This window comes from Homo sapiens, chromosome 9, assembly GCF_000001405.40.
Source record: "Homo sapiens chromosome 9, GRCh38.p14 Primary Assembly".
NCBI classification, from domain to species: Eukaryota; Metazoa; Chordata; class Mammalia; order Primates; family Hominidae; genus Homo; species Homo sapiens.
In genome coordinates, this window is record NC_000009.12 from 92,858,048 (window position 1) to 92,880,155 (window position 22,108).

The following is a 22,108-nucleotide window of genomic DNA, read 5'->3' on the forward strand; positions in this document are numbered from 1 at the left end:
ACAGTGTTTAAAACAAACAAAAAAATCCTACACATCCAAAAAGATAGGACCACATATCCAAAATCAGAGAAGGAAAAAATTCAATAGAAACAGTCACACAGAGAATTGGAGTTAGATGAAAAGAGGACTATCTTTAGAGAGTTGGTTCTTATAATAAAGAATCAAATGAAAGTTCAAAAATTGAAAAATCTAAAATCTAAAATTAAGAAGTCCTTATGCAGGTTTAACAGCAAAATACAGAATTTCTGAAATGGAAGACAAGTAAATAGAAAATATCCAAACTGAAGCAGAGATTTTTTTTTTAAAGAAAAAAACATAGGAGCATTAGGAATATGTGTGACATAGTAAAAAAGGTATAACCTATCAGAGTCTGAGAAGTTAAAGAGGAGAGTGCAGGGAAAAAGCAATATTTGAAGAAGTAATGGCTATGAATGTCATCAACCCTTAGGATTCAAGAAGCTCTTCAAATACCTCTTTACAAAACTGCAAGTATTGACTATGCAAAACAGTAACAGTACTATTCTGGGAGGTTTAAAATGTATGCAAAATTTAAAATAATGGAAATAATAATGCAAAAATGGGAGGCAGTAAATAGAATTAAAGTGTTTTATAAAGTATCCTAGCATTATTAAGGAGATAAAATAGTAAGTTCAAGATGAATGTTTTAATATCTGGGGTAACAAACAGTAAAAGAATTATAACAAGTAAACAAAGGAAAAAATTAAAGAGTAAAAAAATTATGTAATATAAAAAGTCAAGAAAGGAATGAAAAAATAGGTAGTTCAAATAAAAACTAGGCCGGGCGTGGTGGCTCACACCTGTAATCCCAGCACTTTGGGAGGCTGAGGCAGGCGGATCATGAGGTCAGGAGATCGAGACCATCCTGGCTAACACGGTGAAACCCGGTCTCTACTAAAAATATAAAAAAATTAGCTGGGTGTGGTGGTGGGCACCTGTAGTCCCAGCTACTCAGGAGGCTGAGGCAGGAGAATGGTGTGAACCCAGGAGGTGGAGGTTGCAGTGAGCCAAGACTGCACCACTGCACACCAGCCTGGGCAACAGAGCAAGACTCCATCTCAAAAATAAAATAAAATAAAATAAAAACTAATAGTAAGGTGGTATATATAAATTCAAGTATATCAGTAATTACATTAAGTGTAAATGCATTAAACATCCAAGTTAAAAGCAAGGATTGAGACTTCTGGTTCTAAAAAACAAAACAAAAAAAAGAGTGCATTCCACCCAATTCCTCCTGCTAATTACCTAAAAATCTAGAAAAATACATAAAGCATCTGTCAGAAGACTCACTGGTGGAGAAAAGAAAGTAGAACCTAAGGACTTAAAAAACAACACAGTAGTGAGTTAGTTCCCTAGAGGGAACTTAGAGGGAGAGAGGGAGCTCCTACATATTGCAAAATGAGTACTAGAGGAGCTTGCAACCTGGAAGAACCAATGAGCACAGACAAAAAAGGCCTCCCCAAAGCATACATTTTCCAGCCAAATAATTTGAAATAGGGCAGCAATGCAGGATGGGACCTTTTGACTACACATACCTACAAAGTTCAGAAGTACCCAAGAACACCCTCACTTCTGACACCTACTGCAAGCAGAGGGATTTCCCAGGATCACCTGTACTTCTGACACCAATTCCAAGTCAGGGGTCCCCAGGACCACCCTCAGGTTCCACAATTCACAGAAGAACTCACAGAAATTAGAAAAGCCATAATACTCATGGCTATGGTGTTATATAGTGGCTTTACAATGAAAGGATACAGATCAAAATCAGCCAAGGGAAGATGTGCTTAGTGCAGTGTCAATGAGAGTTCCAGGTGTGAGCTTCCAGTGGTTTTCTCCCAGTGGAGTCATATGGACAGCACTTACTTCTCCCAGCAATGATGTGTGATGATAATACGCATGGAGTATTGCCAACTGGGGAAGTTCACTTGAGCCTTGATGTCCAGAGTTTTTACTGAGACTTGATCATGTGGACATGAATGACTCCCACTGTGGCTGATCTTAGTCTCCAGCCCCTCCAGAGCTGATATTGCATGGCCAAAGGTACCCCACTATAAACCACATGTTGGCATAGAATATTCAGTGTGGCCCAAAGCTCCCACCATAAATCACACTGTCATTATATACTATCTTGCATGGCCTAAGCAAGGCCTGCAGGACATTCCAAAGATTTAGAGGTTACCTCCCAGGAGCTGAGTGCAAAGGCCAAACCTCTCTTTGGGCAAAGTTAATCCTTTACTGCACAACAATATACTTGAGGCCAGGCGCGGTGGCTCACGCCTGTAATCCCAGCACTTTGGGAGGCCGAGGCAGGTGGATCACGAGGTCAGGAGATCGAGACCATCCTGGCTAACATGGTGAAACCCCATCTCTACTAAAAAAATACAAAAAATTAGCCGGGCATGGTGGCGGGCGCCTGTAGTCCCAGCTACTTGAGAGGCTGAGGCAGGAGAATGGCGTGAACCCGGGAGGCGGAGCTTGCAGTGAGCTGAGATCACACCAGTGCACTCCAGCCTGGGCGACAGAGCGAGACTCCATCTCAAAAAAAAAAAAAAAACAACAAAACAAAACAAACAAAAAAAAACCAGTATACTTGAGGTGAAAACTACAAAAGATGCATCCTTTGCCTTCTTCACAAACAATGTGACTCCAAAGATGGTGGGGTGGAGCTCTCTCAATCATCCCAACTGCATTAGCTCAAAGAGAGGTAGCACCCCTCTTGCCTCTCCAGCAGGCATTATATAGACTGTATTGGCTAACCCTACCCCAAATTAAGTGAATGACAGCAAAGAAGAAGTAGCTACCTTCTTCCAATAGAGAGTGGAGGATGGATTATGGAGAAAGTTATAAAAAGGGGTTCTTTAAATACATGTATGATGACCTGGGCACACCTACGAGCAGCCCAGATATAAAATGAATCAGAATCAACATAGAAAAAGCTTTCAGGGCTGAACTAGGGTGTGGGATACTGTCCAGGTTTCAAATTAGCTTCTGGGTAGCACAAAAATGAGGGAGACCAAAATAGAACTGCAAAGACTTTCAAAACTAAGTTGAATTTGAAATACAGCCCATAAAAATAGACCAAGACATGCACTCTAAACCTAAATGTGTTGACAACTGCTAAAATAGAGGATTTGAAGAGAAAACAGAATCTCATAACATGATATTCAGAATGTCCTGAATAAAGCCAAAATTATTCATCATCTTAAGAACCAAGAAAATCTGAAATCAAATGAGAAAAGAGCATCAACAGATAGCAACACTCAGATGAATCAGATGTTGGAATTATTTGACAAGGATTTAAAGTAGCTAACTAAAAGTGTTGCAACAAGCAGCTGTAAATAGTGTTGAATCAAGTGGAAATATATAAATTCTCAGCAAAGAAATAGAAGGTATGAGGAGGAACAAAATGAAAATTTTAGAACCAAAAAATACAGTAAGTGAAATTAAAAACCTCACTGGATGATCTCAACAGCAGAATGGAGATCCAAAGGAAAGAATCAGTTACCTCAGTTACCTGTAAGATAGATAAACAGAAATTATCCAGTCTGAACAATAGAAAAAATAATTGATGAAATGATTGTTTCATCAATTCCCTCAGGCTGTATTCAGCCTAAGGGACCCAGCGGGACAATAACAGAACAGCCAACAATCATTTCAGCAGTCCTAGAAGGAATGAAAAAGTAGGACGGGAGACTGGAAAAAGATATGAAGAAATAATAGCTGAAAACCTCCCAAATCTGGTAAAAGGCATAAATGTACAGATTCAAGTCGCTGACCAAATCTCCAAAAGGAAAACCTCAAATAAATCCATGTCTAGATACATTGTAAGATTTATAAAATCCAAATTTAAGAATAGAACCTGAAAACAGTCAGAGAGAAATGACACATTACATGTAGGGAAAGGGCAATTTGAACAAGAATGACTTTCTCATTAAAAACCACAGATGTCAAAAGGAAGTGGGACCATATTTTTCAAGTGCTGAAGAGAAAGAGCTGTCAATATTGAATTCAATATCCAGTGAAAATAAAATAGGCTCTGTTTAAATTCTCTTAAACTTAATTCTGAGGAATTACCTGCCATTGGTAGTTGAGAAAGAAGTCTGAAAAAAAAAATAAAAAAAGAATTAACTGCCATACATTTATTAAGCATAATTACTTAGGTAATTCTTAGGAATTACCTGCCATATATTTACTAAGCAAGATGTTGAGAACTTTATGTTGTGAACATCTTCACAACTTTACACAATATGCTTCAAGACATCAAAGAACTTACAACAACTTTCTAAGATATTATAAAGGGCATAAGAGATGTGCAAAGCATAGCATGACCCCAAATAGAGAGAAGAAAATTCTACATGGAGTGTAAGACTAAGTTCTGTAGAGTTGATGAAACTTAAGCTTAGTCTTGGGAGATGCCATGTTTAATGCAAGCAGAGTAGGGCAAAGTGATTTTTAGAAGGGAGCAGCATGAGCAAAGGTATAAAGACAGGAAAATACATGATAAATTCAGGGAACCACAAATTAGTCTGCATAATGAGAAGTCTGTATGCAGTGAAGGAAAGGTGTTTATGAGGAAATTTCAGTAGAGGTATGCTGGCATGAGATCATGCAACTATTTTTCCTCCAATACATAATGGACTGCCATTAAAGTAATTTATATATAGAGAAAAGATTATTAGATTTATGTTTACAACTGCCAAGAAGATGCTGGCCAGGTTGTGGAGAAATAGGAACGCTTTTACACTGTTAGTGGGAATGTAAATTTGTTCAACCATTGTGGAAGACAGTGTGGTGATTCCTCAAAGATTTAGAAGTGGAAATACCATTTGACCCAGCAATCCCATTACTGGTTATATACCCAAAGGAATATAAATCATTCTGTTATAAAGATACACGCATGCATATGTTCATTGTGGCACTATTCACAATAGCAAAGACATGGAATCAACCCAAATGCCCATCAGTGATAGACTGGCTAAAGAAAATGTGGCACATATACATCATGGAATACTATGCAGCCATAAAAAGGAATGAGATCATATCCTTTGCAGGGACATGCAGGGAGCTGGAAGCCATTATCCTCAGCAAACTAATGCAGGAACAGAAAACCAAACGCTACATGTTCTTACTTATAAGTGGGAGCTGAACAATGTGAACACATGGACACAGGGAAGGGAACAACACTCACTGGGGCCTGTTGGGGAAGGGTGGGGGGTGGGAGAGCATTAGGGAAAAAAGCTAATGCATGCTGGGCTTAATACCTAGGTGATGGCTTGATAGGTGCAGCAAACCATCATGACACACATTTACCTATGCAACAAACCTGCACATCCTGCACATGTACCCTAGAACTTAAAATAAAAAATAAAAAAAGACTATCAAGAAACAGCAGGGAGAATACATTTGAATGAGCAAGAGTGGAAGTCTAGGCAATATTTCATGTGAAAGAATTAAAACACCTTAGTTAGGGAGAAAATATTATTTAACAGGAATATAGAAAAAGAAATTGGTGTAGATAGTAGGTAATTAGAATTGATAGATGGAGTAAGAAAAAGGAGGAACTAAAGTGAAATTCTCAATTATTCGTTTTGTATACTCTGAGATTATAGTGTCATATACTGAAGTAGAGATTGATGAATGGAAAAGGTTGGAGAAAGGGAACCAGATGAAATCACTTATGTTTTGCACATATTGAGATTACAGGGATTAAACATGTAGGCAGGCATATTATAGGACGTTAGGCAGAGGCCTAGAGTGGAGATAAAGATTTGGGAGTCACCAGTAGATAATTAATAACTAAAATCATCTGAGTAAATGAGACTGCTTGAGAGGACACCTGATAAAGGAGAATGTAAAGGAAAGAATCTGAAAAAGTTACCAGCATTGAAGAAGAGGTGTCAGCAATAAAAACTGAGAAATCGGACAGAGCCAGGAGAGAGTAACGTCTTAGAATGTATGTGGGGATTAGTTGATGGGGTTGAATGCCAAGATGGATGAAAAAAGCAAAAGACAGATAAATTCTGGCTTTTGTATTTAGGAGATGTGACAGTGATAGCTAGTTGTCTTCCAACATTCACTCATCCTTTCTTCCCTAATAACAGAACATGAATTCTTAGCTGGCTACTCTGAGTAAGACTTTCTTTTCCCAGCCCACCTTAAATGTAACCAGGAAACTATACTTTGGCCACAGAGATACAGGCGATACTTCTGAGATGTCAGTTTTTAAAGGAGAAGGTGTGAGTGCCCCTTTCCTCCCCAACCTCACCATGCTGCTGGCCTGGAACGCTGACTCAGTTAATGCAACCCCAGCAAATCTCGGGAACTATCAAGTGACGTGAGGTTGAAAATCACAAAATGAGAATGACATAGAGAACAACAACAAAAAAAAAAGGTGTATAAATTTGTGAAGACATCAGGCCCTGAATGAATACTTTCAGACTTCTTTTGCTTCTTTTGTGTTTAAGCCCGTAATTCTTAGATTTCTGTTATACTAAAATGCATTTTGCCAGACAATTCTAATAAAATAGATAGAAACTGGGTTGCAATTACAGACTCTTAAGCTTTTAAGCAAAAAATTCAGTACCACGTAATAGCAAAAAGATCAGTACTTCAGGAAAATATAATTCATATTTTGAATGACAATCTAAAATACATAAAACAAAAGTTGACAAAATTACATGGAGAAATTGATAAACCTACACACGCATGGGAGACTTCCCAACTCCCCCTCCCTACTCTGAGAGATTTTAACCAGATTACATTCATTAATCACTAGATATAGCAACAAAAATTTGGCACATATAGGAAAATTTCTGCAAGAAAATTGACAAGCCAGTTACAAAGGAGATGAGATCTCACACATAAAACAAATATGCAATAGTCAAAAAATAAGGATTATACAGAAGATCTGAACAACACAAATAAGCTGTTTGTGATGTAGACAGAAATCACACACACACACACAGAGAGAGAGAGAAAGAGAGAGAGAGAGAACGAGAGAGAAAGAGTATATTCATCATTATATTAGGGGACCATACATGAATGACAGTGTGATAGTACACAAAATGTAAAAAGAACATAAATGTAACAACAGGCTGGGTGCAGTGGCACATGCCTGTAATCCCAGTACTTTGGGAGGCCAAGGCAGGAGGATTGCTTGAGTCCACGAGTTTGAGACCAGCCTGGGCAACATAGTGAGAACTTGTCTCTATAAAAAATCAAAACAAAAACAACAACAACAAAAAGCAATACAAACTACAGACAACTCAGTTTAAAAAAAAGGGGGAGGAATGAATCAAGCAATTCTCAAAAGAAGTGTACATGACAATGAAATTCTGAAAAACTGTTCAATCACATTAGTAACCAGGGAAATGCTAATTAAATCCAAAATGAGATACCTCTGCAAACTCCCAAGATGGCTAAAATTGTAAAGATTGAAAACACCAAGTACTGGTAAAGATACAAAGTAGTAAACATATCTGCACACTACTGGTAGGAATACAAATTGGCGTAACAAACTTTGCAAAGCTGTATGACATCATATACTAAAGTTGGAGAGGGGCCAGGTGCAGTGGCTCAGGCCTGTAATCCTAGCACTTTAGGAGGCCGAGGCAGGAGGATTGCTTGAGAGCAGGAGTTCAAGACTAGCCTGCGCAACATAGCAAGACGCCGTCTCTACAAAAAGAAAAAAAAAATTAGCCAGGCATGGTGGCATGCGTCTATAGTCCCAGCTACTTGGGAGGCAGGGGAAGCAGGATCACTTGAGCCCTGAAAGTTGAGGCTGTAGTGAGCTGGGATCACAGCATTGCACTCCACTCAGCTTGGGTGACAGAGCAAGACCTTGCCTTTGGATAGAAATAACTTCTGAAAGAAATGTTCACAAGAGCATATTTCGTAATGCATTTTATATTTCTCCATAGTAAAGGCTTAAAAATAAATGAAAATAAAATCATAATGGTACAGAAATGCATATGGTATACCATCTTCTGTGGAAAGAACATAATACTTTTCCTATTTGTTTTTGTCTATATAATGACACTTTGAACACACACTAAAAAAAATTAGTTATCCAGATTGAGGACATGGGCTGATAGGAAAAGAAAGAGGGAGATTTTTCACTATGTACTTATTTTCTTACTTTTAAATCATATGCATGTATTACCTATTCAAAATACTCATCTGACAAAGGTCTAATATCCAGATTCTACAGGGAACTTAAAAACACATTTACAAGAAAAAAACAACCCCATCAAAAAGTGGGTGAAGGATATGAACAGACACTTCTCAAAAGAAGACATTTATGTGGCCAACAATCATACGAAAAAAAGCTCAACATCACTGATCATTAGAGAAATACAAATCAAAACCACAATGAGATACCATCTCATGCCAGTCAGAATGGCTATTATTAAAAAGTCAAGAAACAATAGATGCTGGCGAGGCTGTGGAGAAATAGGAACACCTTTACACTGTTGGTGGGAATGTAAATTAGTTCAACCATTGTGGAAGACAGTGTGGCAATTCCTCAAGGATCTAGAACCAGAAATACCAGTTGACCCAGCCATCCCATTACTGGGTATATACCCAAAGGAATATAAATCATTCTACTATAAAGACACATGCACACGTATGTTTACTGCAGCACTATTTACAATAGCAAAGACACAGAACCAACCCAAATGCCCAGCAATGATAGACTAGATAAAGAAAATGTGGTACATGTACAACATGGAATAGTATGCAGCCATAAAAAGGAATCAGATCACATCCTTTGCAGGGACATGGATGAAGCTGGAAACCATCATTCTCAGCAAACTAACACAGGAACAGAAATCCGAACACTGCATGTTCTCACTCATAAGTGGGAGTTGAACAATGAGAACACACAGACACAGGGCAGGGAACAAGCCACACCAGGGCCTATCAAGGGGTGGGGGGATAAGGGGAGAGAGAGCATTAGGACAAATAGCAAATGCATGCAGGCTTAAAACCTAGATGATGGGGGCCGGGCATGGTGGCTCACACCTGTAATCCCAGCACTTTGGGAGGCCAAGGTGGGTGGATCACCTGAGGTCGGGAGTTCGAGACCAGCCTGACTGGAGAAACCCTGTCTCTACTAGAAATACAAAATTAGCCGGGCACAGTGGCTCAAGCCTGTAATCTCATCACTTTGGGAGGCTGAGGCGGGTGGATCACGAGGTCAGGAGATCGAGAACCTCCTGGCTAACACAGTGAAACCCCGTCTCTACTAAAAAAATTTAAAGAAAATTAGCCAGGCCTGGTGGCAGGCGCCTGTAGTCCCAGCTACTTGGGAGGCTGAGGCAGAAGAATCCCTTGAACCCGGGAGGCGGAGGTTGTGGTGAGCTGAGATTGCGCCATTGCACTCCAGCCTGGGCAACAAGAGCGAAACTCCATCTCAAAAAACAAAGCAAAACAAAACAACAACAACAAAAAAACAAACCTAGATGACAGGTTGATAGATGCAGCAAACCACCATGGCACGCATATACCTATGTAACAAACCTGCACATTCTGCACATGTATCCTGGAACTTAAAGTAAAATTTTAAAAAAAGAAAATATTGCACCCATGAATATTAGAAAGATCATTCAGAAGTGAAGAAAAGAGTCCTTAAAATTAAAAATACAATATTAATGAGAAACTCAGTAACCTGAAACTTTCCATGATACTGCACTGAGCACATCTTCTCTGGCTGATTTTAATCCACGTCCTCTTTCTGTAATGAACTATAAGCATGAGTATAATGGCTTTCCTGAGTTGTGTAAGTCCTTCTCGTGAATTATTGAAACTGAGGGTGGTCTTGGAGACTCCTGAGCTTGCAGTTTCTGTCATAAGTGAGGGTAGTCTTAGAGACGCCTAAATAATTTTACTTGGGCTTGTATCTGAGTGTCAATAGGGCTGTATTCCTTCTGGAGGTTCTAAAGGAATATCAATTTCCTTGATTTTTCTAGCTTCTAGAGGCCACCTGTATTCTTTGGCCTTAAAACAACACAAACTTGTCACTATTCTGGAGGTCATATGTCCAAAATAGGTCCTGCTGGGCTGCACTCCTTCTGGAGACTCTACAGGACAATCCATTTCTATGTCTTACCCAGCTTCTTGAGACTCAAGAGATCTAACATTTGAGAAACATGAGGACAATTCCTAGTATCATGTGGAAGGGACAGCCCATGCCAGTAGCTGAGTATCGGATAGAGAGTAACTATGAGCAGGTCGACAACTCCAAGAGGAGTTTCTTTAAAGAGCTGAAATGAATAGCATGTAATCTAGAGCCAACGGCCTGGGTCTTATTTTCCTGGCTTCATCATTCAGGAGCTGTATGATCTTGGGCAAATTCCTTCTCTGTGTAACAGTTTTCCTCCTCTGTAAAATGAGAATAATGATTATAGATAGCTGTCTTTGTTTACTGTTACTATAAAAGAACACCTGAGCCTGGGTAATTTATAAAGAAAAGACATTTATTTGGCCCATGGTTCTGCAGGCTGTACAAGAAGCATGGCATCAGCATCTGCATCTGGGGAGGGCCTTCAAGCTGCTTCCATTCATGGCAGAAGGGGAAGAGAAGCCGGTGTGTGCAGAGATCATATGGCAAAAGAGGAAGAAAGAGAGAGCGAATGGGAGGTAGCAAGCTCTTCTCAACAACCAACTCTCACGGAACTCATAAGATTGAGAACTCACCACCTCCCCAGAGAGGGCATTAATCTATTCATGAGGGATCTGTCCCCATGACCCAAACACTTCCCATTATGCCCTACCACCTCCTACACTGGGATCAAACTTCTCTTTTATTTTTAAAATTTCTTTTTATTTATTTATTTTTGTAAGAAACAGGGTCTCGCCATATTACCTAGGCTGATCTCAAATTCCTGGCCTCAAGTGATCCTCCTACCTTGGCTTCCTGAATAGCTGGGATTACACACAAGCCACCGCGCCTGGGTTGGGGGATCAAATTTCAGCATGAGATTTGGAGAGGATAAATATCCAAACCATAGCAATAACTCGTAGGGGTTGTGACTGAATTAGTTAATAGAGAATGCTTATAGTGCCTGGTATATAGTAAGCACTATATTAATGTTTATATTATATTACTGTTATTATTTAGTATATTTTAATATATTGAGAAGGTATTTATATACCTGGGAAGACTAGCGATGAATTACTGATATGTATAATATATATTGTACATGTATGTATGGAAAACAAAACAAATGATTAAGCCAGACACTTATAATTTCAGGTAAAACAAAAAGCACTGCATAAAAAGTAAATGGCTCACTTGTGAATATTGTTAAAATAATCATCATAATAAAATGCAGCCTATTGATTTACCCCAAATTATGATATACCCATATTAGGCTGGGCGCAGTGGCTCACGCCTATAATTCCAGCACTTTGGGAGGCTAAGGTGGGCAGATCGCTTGAGCCCAGGAGTTCAAAGATCAGCCTGGGCAACATGGTGAAACCCCATCTCTACTAAATAAATAAATAAATAAACAAAATACCCATATTAGATGGAGGGTACATGAGAAATGTGTACGTGAGTGTCAAGGGCCTGAGTGTCTGAAAGAGAGCTAATTCCTTCTTTCCATTGTGTTGTCTGTAGATAACTGCTTAAAACTGAAAGCCTAGAAATACCAATACAAACATGTTATTTAGACATATGAAAGTAAACAGCAAAAGATAACTAAACTGAGTTCAAAGTGATTACCTTTGAGAAGCTGAAATTTGAAGAGGAATAGAGCAGATGACAACTGTTTTATTCTAAGAAACCACAAAGAACAATTTGACTAAGTAAATATAGGTAAAACTTTCATGACATTCAAAATGAAATACTTATTTTTAAAAGTTCAAATGCAAAGGACAAAGAGGCAGTTATAACTGACCAAAACGTATAAGACTATGCTTAATATATGAAGTCCTCTGTTCAAACTCAATAAACTGGATTCCACTCCTGGAAAGATACAGTAGATGCACTTGTCTCTATTCATCCTGTTAAGTTCATCTACAAACCATAGACATTATCCATCAAACCAACATACAGACTCTGAAAGGTAAAGAAAAATAGGCACCCTGGCTAGGGGCCTCAGGAACCAGGGAAGTAAACAGTAATAAGCTCTCTGTGTCTTTCGGCCTCATATAGATAGCTCTGACCAGGTGTTCGAAAAACCTACAATCCAGAAACATCAACAAGTGCATACAAAAAGGCCTGGAAAAAAGTGTTTTCTCTAGCTAAAAGACCAGGAAAGGGGCAACAGAGAAAAATAAAAAACTTTTAGACAAAACCTACTCCAACCAAATACCACAGATTATAAAACAACAAAAAACTGTGGGCTTGATTCATCTCTCATCAGCAAAGACTCAGTGGGTAGCCTAGACTCCTGTATTTGCCTGGCTGCCTGGGGATGCCCCTCCACTGCAATAGGGTAGTATGAGAAAAGCCAACTGGGGAGCTGGGACTTTCATCTCTGCACAGTGGTAATGGGTAGCTTTCTTGCCATGCCAGTGGGAGCCACCTCAGGGCTGGACTTCCATTCCTACCTAGCAGTAATGCGACACTCTTCCCATCACGACAGGTGTGGTGTGAGAGGATGTCAAATGAAAACCCAAGACCTTCATCACTCTGAGAGGTAATGAGGCCCTATCCAACCTAACAATATCAGAGAAGACAGCATGAAGAGCAGAAACAAGGTACCCTCTCCTTTCAGACAAGGTGATGTCACCAGAGGTCTACTGGGGAGCCTGAACTGCCAACCCCAACTAGCAGTAATGAGGTGTCTCTCTCCCCACAGACTGTCAACAGAGTTCAAGTAGGGAACCTGCAAATTCACATCCACCTGGCAGTAGTACAGCAAGGCCCCCCAATTCCCACACTGGCCCAGAGGACGCCTGCTAAAAAAGAGGACTCAAATAAGATCTAGAGTCTCATAATGCCCAAGGTTTCCACAATACATTACAAAATCATTTGTAAAACCAAGAACCAGGAAAATCTCAACTTGAATAAGGAAACAACCAATCAACCGATACTAAAACTGAAGTGATGTATGTTATCAGAATTATTTCATAAGGATTTTAAAGTAGTCCTCATAAAAATGTTTTAACAAGCATATGAACACACTTGAAACAAAAAAACTTCAACAAAGAAATAGAGAAGAGATGAAAAAACCAAATGAAAATTTTAGAATTAAAAAATAACCAATATTAAAAACTCAATAGATGGGCTCAAAAGAATGGAGGCAACAGAAGAAATATTCTGAGTACCTGAAAATAAAGTAGAAATGATCTAATCTAAAGAATGGAGAGAAAACAGACTGAGAAAAAAAGGAACAGAACCTCAGAGACATGTGGGACAATAACAAAAAATCTAACATTTGTGTCATTGGAGTTCCAGAAAGAGAAAAAGAAGAGAAAGGGATGGGGGCTGAACAAGTATTTGAAGAAATAATGAATGAAAATTTCTGAAACTTCCCGAAAGATATACACTTACAGATAGAAGCTGGGCAAATCTCAAAAAGGATAAAACCAAAGAAATTCACACTAAGGAAGAATTATAGTGAAACTTGTGAAAAATACAGACAAAGAAAGAATGCTGAAAGCATTCAGAGAGAAACTACACATTACCCACAGGAGAAAAACAATTTGAATGACAATGTGAGATACTAAGAACCATGGCTCCCCAAAGATGTTCACATCCTAATTCCCAGAAATTGTGAATATGTTAGGTTGCATGGCAAAAGGGAATTCAGGTTTCAGATCAAATCTAGGTGGCTAAATCGGCTGTCCTTAAAATAGGAAGATTAATTATCTTAGATTATCTGGGTGGGCTGAATATAATCACAAATTTGCTTAAAAGTTAAAGCAGGAGGGCCAGGCGCGGTGGCTCATGCCTGTAATCCCAATACTTTGGGAGGGCCAATGCGGGCGGATCGCCTGAGGTTGGGAGTTTGAGACCAGCCTGACCAACATGGAGAAACCCCGTCTCTACTAAAACATACAAAATTAGCAGGGCGTGGTGGCACATGCCTGTAATACCAGCTACTCGGAAAGGTGAGGCAGGAGAATCGCTGGAACCCGGAAGGCGGAGGTTGCAGTGAGCCAAGATCGCGCCATTGCACTACAGCCTGGGCAACAAGAGCAAATCTCTGCCTCAAAAAAAAAAAAAAAAAAAAAAAAAAGTTAAAGCAGAGGCAATAAAAGAGAGTCAGAGAAAGATGCGACTACAAAAGAGTGGTCAGAGAGATACAATGTTGATGGCTTTGAAGTTGGAGGAAAGGGCCACAAACTGAAATGTGAGCACCCACTAGAAGCTAGAAAAGTCAGAAAATAGAAACAGATTCTTTCAGGTTGCGGTGAGCCGAGATCGCGCCATTGCACTCCAGCCTGGGCAACAAGAGCAAATCTCTGCCTCAAAAAAAAAAAAAAAAAAAAAAGTTAAAGGAGAGGCAATAAAAGAGAGTCAGAGAAAGATGAGACTACAAAAGAGTGGTCAGAGAGATACAATGTTGATGGCTTTGAAGTTGGAGGAAAGGGCTACAAATTGTGAAATGTGGGCACCCACTAGAAGCTAGAAAAGTCATAGAAAATAGAAACAGATTCTTTCTTACAGCCTGTAGAAAGGAATACTGCCCTCTTGACACCTTGGTTTTAGTTCAGTGAGACCCATGTTGGCCTTCTAAAATATAGAACTGTAAAAAAAAAAAAGTTATTTTTAAGCAACTAAATTTTTGAATTTATTTCAGCAGCAATAGAAAATTAACATGCAGTTTTAACTAATATCTCATCAGAAACTTTGGAGGCCAGAAGGAAGTAGCACATTTTTCAAGTGCTAAAAAAAAAAACAAAAGAACTATCAACTTAGAATTTTGGATCAGGCAAAAATATCCTTCAGGAGAATGTGGAAATCAAGACATTCTCAGTCCTCCAAAAATTCGTATGTTTAGGCTGTAACCCCTAATGTAACTGTATTTGGAGATAGGGCTTTTAAGAGGTAATTACGGTTAAACAAGGTAGGGGTCCTAATCTGATAAGACAGGTGGCCTTACAGAGAGAGATTCTCTCTCCATAGGCAGGCAGGCAGGCAGGCAGGCGGTCACTAGGGAATGGCCTGTGAGCACATAGTGAGAATCTGGTTTTCGTCTACAAGCCAAGAAGAGAACCCTCATCAGAACCTGACCATACTTGCACCCTGATCTCTCAGTTCCAGCCTCCCAGAACTGTGAGAAAATAAATTTTTGTTGTTTATTCCACCCAGTCTATGGTACTTTGTTATGGCAGCCTGAGCTGACTAAGACAACTACTAACAGCTCTGCACACATAAATTTGACAACTTAGATGAAAGGGACCAGTTCCTGAAAAACACACAAACTACCACAACCCTCTCAATATTAAATAGACAATGTGAATAGCCCTGTAACACTTAAAGAAACTGAGTTTGTAATCTTAAAACTTCCAAAAAAGAAATCTCTAGGCCCAGACAGTTTCTCTGGAGAATTCTACCAAATATTTGAAGAATTAACATAATTAACATAAATTCTACACAGTTTTTTCCAGAAAACAGAAGAGAAGGGCATACTTCCCAGTTTATTGTGTGAGGCTATGATTTCCCTGACACAAAAACTGGACAAAGTATAGAAAAAGAAAACACAAACTATACACAATCTCTGGCAGAATAATCAATACAAAGGAACACATTCCAACTTATTTTATGAGGTCAGGGTTATCGTGATACCTAAACCAGAAATAGTACCAAAAGAAAAAACAGAAAGAGAGACAGAAAGAAAAAAAAAAGCGATATCCTTCATAAATATGATACAAAAACCCTTAACAAAATATTAGCAAATACAAATAATTTAAAAAGTATATACCACAACCAAGTGGAGTTTATTCCATGGATGCAACGCTGGTTCAATATTAAAAAATCAATCAATGTAATCTACCATACCAACAGACTCAAGAAGTAAAATCACATGATCATGTCAATTGGTACAGAAATAGCATTTAACAAAATTCAACTCCCATTCACGATAAAACCTCAAGGTTGTTTCAGAAGGTGGTCCTTGGACAAGGAGCATTGATGTTCTGTGGAAATTTGTGAGAAATAAAAATTCTCATATCCCATCCCATAGCTACTAAATCAGAATCTGAATTCAAATGCAAGTAAAGTGTCAGAAGCACTGTTCTATAAGACAGCAACAGAAAAACTGTTAGTGCACGTTCTTTCTTTCTTTCTTTTTTTTTTTTTTTTTTGAGACAGAGTTTCGCTCTTGTTGCCCAGGCTGGAGTGCAAAGGCGCAATCTCGGCTTACTGCAACCTCTGCCTCCTGGGTTAAAGCAATTCTCCTGCCTCAGCCTCCTGGGTAGCTGGGATTACAGGCGCCCGCCACCACACCTGGCTAATTTTTGTATTTTTAGTGCAGACGGGGTTTCACCTTGTTGGCCAGGTTGGTCTGGAACTCCTGATCTCATGTGATCCACCTGCCTCGACCTCCCAAAGTGCTGGGACTACAGGTGTGAGCCACCGCGCCTGGCCTGTTAGTGCACTTTCAGTAGGGTTGTTGTTGAAGACTGCTCTGTCATTAACCATCTGAAGATCTATCAAAAAATTCCTCAAACATCAAGAACCATGACATCTTTACTACAGATGAAATAAATTACTTGTTAATTTTATTAATATAAACCATGTATCCAATTTCCATTATTGCTATGTCTTTCAGGAAGATCAGAGACAATTTAACAGTTCAAAGTTCATGACTGTGTAAGACCATATATTCTAAACTTGACTTGGGGCTGACAGTCTCTTCTTCATTTTATCTGATCTTAGTTTTTATTTATTTAGTCTTGTCATCTTACTATAGGGATTGTTAGATGTCTCCTAAAATCCACTAAAAGTAAAAGAAAGCAACAAATAAACAGATGAACAAATAAGAACTCACCAGGGACTTGGTCATTTTTGGCTCTTCGGACAAAGGGGCAGAAATCTGAGAAAACAGATGGGTAGAGGTACCCATGAGAGAAGGAACTGTGCCAATGTCACACATGGACACATACATCATTTAGTGCCCTTGCACCTTACTCAAAAATTTATTTCTGGAACTACCACATTAAAATATCATCCCATCCCATATTGTACAAAGATTTAAGTGCAAAAGTTTTACCATAACATGGTTAATAAAAAAGAAAGATTAGAAATGTTTAGATATTCAATAATTGTGGATTGCTTAAATACTTTATAAAATATCCAAAGGATATACTGTTCTATTACGTTATTATACTATCTGATTTCACAGGCCCTTCAAGTTATCATCAACCCTGGTACCTAACTCCTCACTACCACTCTTCAATCTGCTCTAAGTGTCAATTGGTGCCCAGAGACTACTCCCAGAAGCCATTACTGAAACCTCAGATTCACTGATTTCCATGCCTTGCTGCCCCTGAGCCAGGCCTGCATCACTCATCCTACAATACCTGATCACAGAGTCTTCAATTCCTCTACCCTAATGGTCCTGGCTCTCTACCAATCAATCCCACATCCCCATGACTGGCCTCTATGCCTGTATGACTACCGATCATGCATCTCCATCAGCCATCCCAAGAGTCCCAATCCTAGGCACACCTGTTTCTGCACTGGGGCCTTAGCACACATACACATCTCCCACCACTGACACAACTAGGCTATAAGCTCCTCCACATACACAAACAGGAACTCAATCAATGAACAAATCAGGGGAAATTCTTGCATGTATAGAATAAATTTATAAATAGAAAACACTTCTAAATCTAATTGTGAAAAACCAGACTATTTACAGAGGAAAAATGAAGGAAATAAGAAAACTCTTCATCTGCAGTACTGAAAGCTAAATGATGTCGGAAATAGCATCTAAAAGACCACTTCTCTGTCAGGGCCAGAGAGACATTTTCAGAAATAAAAGCACTTGCAGAGTATCTCTATCTTTGAGAGAAACACTGGAAGAAGTCCAAATAAATGTAAAATGAACCACACAATAAATCTTGAATAGGAAAATATTGTTTAGCAATAATTCTTGCAAAAGATATATAATTATAAAAAAGGACAATGTGACAATGTGATAAAGAGGCCACTAAAGAGAAAATTAATAATACCCTATGATAAAACATTCCTAATAATCTCAGGAAAAAAACAGAAAAAATGGGGTGCAGAATGGAAACAATGAGCAGAAATTTCATCAATCCAATGAAAATATTATGTAAAGAAAAGGCAGAAAATAAAAAGAGCTAAATAGTAAACATCAAATGGAAGGCATAAAATCAGATAAATCATTATCACACTAAACTGAGATGTAAAATTCTATCAACAGAGACTATAAATTGGATTTGAAAAAAGCAAAAGTATCTATTGTAAACAAATAGGTAATCTGACACAGAGACAAATAGGATACAAAATAAAGCTCTGGGCAAAGACATCATCCAAATGCAATGAAAGTAAAAACAAGGGTGGCAATGTGAGTATCAACGTGGAATTCGATGTTAAAAAGTGTTTTTCTTGGAATTCGATGTTAAAAAGTGTTTTTCTTTTTTCTTTTTGGTTGAAAAAAGGGATCCTATAATAATACCACTTAATACATGAAAAAGGATAAAAAATGCACTAACCATTAAGTGTATGTATGCCCATCCCTCAGATGCACAAATAAAATTAGCAAAAAAGCACATATAACTGCAAAATGAACTATTAAAAGTGATTTTTATTGTATCTCCTCCAGAATATGAAACAAGTAGATCAAAATTAGGAAAGATAAAGATTTGAAAAATACCAACAAGCAAGACTTAATTAAAGAGAATTTTGGTCCATACAACAAAATATAATTTTTCTTTTATATCTGTTGAACAAAGTTCATTGAGTAACTTGGCTTCAAGGAAAATCTTGATAAATTGTTAAAAGTTGAGACTTGATAGTCTGCATTTTCTGACAATACAATAAAATAAAAAACAGCTAAAACATACTTTAATAATTTGGGAATGAATAAACTCTCCTAAATAACTAAGATTCAAAGGGAAACATCAAAATGAACTTATGCATTTCATAAAGATGTACTTAAAGAAACTTTACAACCCTAAATGTATCCCGCATAAAACTTAAGAAAATAAGGGAAAGAACAACAAATTACATCAAAAAGTGGGAAAAAGAGAAAGTACCTAAAAAGAAAAAGAGAAAAAAATTAATATTAAAAGAGTAGGGAGTATTTTATTGGACATTTCAAAATGTCCAATGAAACAGATAAACCTTTCAGACGCTTGATTCTTTTTAAATAGAGAAAGAATGAATGATATATAAATATAATAACCGTAATGATAAAGGAGCTACTAGTCTGGATATGAAAGAGAACAAAATGGAAATGGAAACATGCAATTCTATGTAATATATTCTTTAAATCTTTAGCAAAATATATCATTATAATGAAACAGAAACGAAAATATAAACAGATCGGTACGTATAAAAGAGAGGAAACTAATTAAGATGTGCATCATTCACACTCCTCAGATCCCTCCTTAGTTCCCATAGTCATCCTCCCCCACAACCCCACAGTCCGCCCTCACTCCGCCCTCAGATCCACCACCAGACAGAGACCCCCAGTCCGTCCTCACTCCGCCTGCAGATCCACCACCAGAGACCCCTCAGTGCCCCCTCACTCCTCCCTCAGATCCACCATCAGAGATCGCTCCGACTTCCACTATTCCATCCACTGACCGACCCCATCACTGACCGGAAGGCTCAGGACAGACATCAGAGATTCTTCTTGCTCAGTCCACAGATGCTGCCATCCCTCTACTCACCTGCCCCTCACCCACGTCCTCTCAGGACAGTGGTCATTTGCCTCGGGAGGTGACTATAGTCGCAAGAACCAGAACAGGACCCACTTCCTTTTTCTCAATGCCTCCCAGGCCTAGAGGTACTTCTTACAGCGCTGCCTGGGTTTGCGCATGCTCAGCAGTCTTCATGGCCTGAAGGTTGCCAGTAATCAACATGGCGCTTTGCCAAACACGCTCCCGTTTCAGCGGCTTAGGCTGGGCGCCAGTATGGCGGCGCCCATGTAGACACTCTGGCCTGTGGGCGGCCATGTTGAGGTCATGTAGAGACTGAGAGGCTGAGGGTTGTCCAAAGGAAAGGAAGCAAGCAGAGGTGTGTCCCATCATACTAAGCCAGGACACAATCAAAGCCTATCACCTCAGGTTACAGTCTTTCTCCAATGCTTCTGTGGACACAACAACACTGTTAATCAACAGGAACTAATCAGCATTTATGTAACACCGCAAACGCAGCCGAATACACATTTTATTCGTGTCGATGGGACATTTAGCAAGATATGAAGTAACCTGGGTCATAAAACAAATCTCAGCAAATTTGAAACAACTGAAATCATACAGTTTGTTCTCTGAACACAATAGAATTAAACTAGAAATCAATAACAGGAAGATAAAAGGAAAATCTCCAAACACGTGAAAACACATGCTAAATAATCCATTGTTCAGAGAGAAAGTCTCAAATTTTTAAAATACATTGAAATGAATGAAAGTGAAAGTGAATGAATTTTTAAAATACATTGAAATGAATGACAGTGAAACACAACATATCAAAATTTGTGGGATGTGGCTAAATCAGTGGTGAGAGAAAAATGTATATACCACTAAGGGCTTACATTAGAAAAGAAAAAAATTTCAAAGCAATAACCAAGCTCCCTCACATACTAGAAAAAGAAGAGCAAAATAAACCGAAGGCAAGTGAAAGAAAGGAAATAATAAGGATAAGAAGATGACTCAATAAAATGTAAAAAGAAAAATAGAGAAAAACCGATTAAACAAAAGCTGGTTCTGTAAATGTTAATAAAATTGACAAATCTGTAGAGGAGACACAAAATATCAATATCCAGAATGAAACAGGAGATACCACTGTAGACCATGACGAAATCAAAAGAATAAAGAGAATACTACAAACAACTCTACAAACATAAATTTCACAACATAGATGAAATGCACTAATTCTTGAAAAAGCACAAATTCTCTCTTACATGAAATAGTTATGTTGAATAGCCCTAGAACTGAAGTCATAATTTGAAATATCTGAAAAAGAAATCTTAAGGCCTGGATAGCTAGATCAGAGAATTCTAACAAACATTTAAAGGTTAACACGAATTATATCCAGTCTCTTCCAGAATAAAAAAAGAATAGAAAGAAGACAATAGAAAGATATTCCAACTCATGAGGCCAGTGTTACTCTGATATCAGAGCTAAAGACAGAAGAAGAAGAAATCAGTATTCTTCATGAATATAGATGGAAAAATTCTCAACCAAATAATAGCAAAAATAATTCAACAATATATAAAAATAACTACAAACCATGAACAAGTGATATTTATTCCAGGAATAAAAAGCTGTTTTGGTATTCAAAAATCAATTTGTGTAACCCCCCACATTAGCAAGCTAAAGATAAGCATATTACATGATTATATCAATGCAGGAAAAGAATTTGAGAAAATTCAACACCCATTTATAATGAAAAAAAAACTTTCAGGAATTAGGAACAGAGGTAAACTTTCTAACTTTTAAGTTAGAAAAAAATCTACAGCTAATGTCAAACTAAAAGATGAAAAAGACTGAATGCTTTCCTGTTCAGTTTGGGAAGAAGGAAAATATGTCTGTGCTCATCATTTTTATTCTACACAGTTCTGGAAGACCCAGTCAGCTGACAAAAATTCTCTCCATAACCAGACTCTAGCCATGCTCCTTTGAACTCTCTTGTCAACTAAACCCTGGCTTTTGGGCTTTTGTGTTGTCTGTGAATTGCCCAATATTAGTAAGAATCCTAGCAAGGCAATTTAGTCAGAATCCTCCATCTTCGTATCTGATCACCATTGATATCTAATTGGTTTTCTTATTGTCTACTATCCCCAGGTGATATCTGATCACTCTGGCATGGCTTCAGCAAGAATTCTGTGAGGTCAGTTTAGCCAGATTCCCTCCTATTAGTAATTTTCCGTACACTACCACCCCTCCACCCTGCTCTGTGGCTATAAAATTTCTATTCAGAGGGAAACCTGAATAT

General features: G+C 38.3%; 1 protein-coding gene across 14 annotated transcripts in view, besides 2 other annotated features; it reads right to left on the reverse strand.

Annotated features, from left to right (window-relative positions):
* Window positions 1–19,991, reverse strand: part of ZNF484 (zinc finger protein 484) — a 33,857-nt gene extending 13,866 nt beyond the window's left edge. For 3 of the 14 annotated variants that reach the window (NM_001354537.2, XM_011519073.3, XM_047423945.1), the window contains exons 1-2: window positions 19,773–19,991; window positions 16,968–17,012 (exon numbers count right to left, since the gene is read on the reverse strand). In NM_001354537.2, the coding sequence (NP_001341466.1) occupies window positions 16,968–17,012; window positions 19,773–19,793 (66 nt within the window). In that variant the 5' untranslated portion in view covers window positions 19,794–19,991. Of the gene's footprint in view, window positions 1–4,092; window positions 4,119–14,639; window positions 14,721–16,967; window positions 17,013–19,772 lie in introns of all 14 variants that reach the window. The other 11 variants (NM_001261460.3, XM_017015178.2, NM_001261459.3 and 8 more) reach the window with 6 other exon arrangements.
* Window positions 19,746–20,281: an enhancer, noted in NCBI's record as "H3K27ac hESC enhancer chr9:95640075-95640610 (GRCh37/hg19 assembly coordinates)". NCBI's record gives its function as "activates a minimal SCP1, AML or CMV promoter by ChIP-STARR-seq in naive H9 embryonic stem cells {active_cell/tissue: H9 hESC(naive)}" and the evidence as "EXISTENCE:reporter gene assay evidence [ECO:0000049][PMID:30033119]".
* Window positions 19,795–20,234: an enhancer, noted in NCBI's record as "active region_28605". NCBI's record gives its function as "activates an Ori minimal core promoter by ATAC-STARR-seq in GM12878 lymphoblastoid cells {active_cell/tissue: GM12878}" and the evidence as "EXISTENCE:reporter gene assay evidence [ECO:0000049][PMID:35858748]".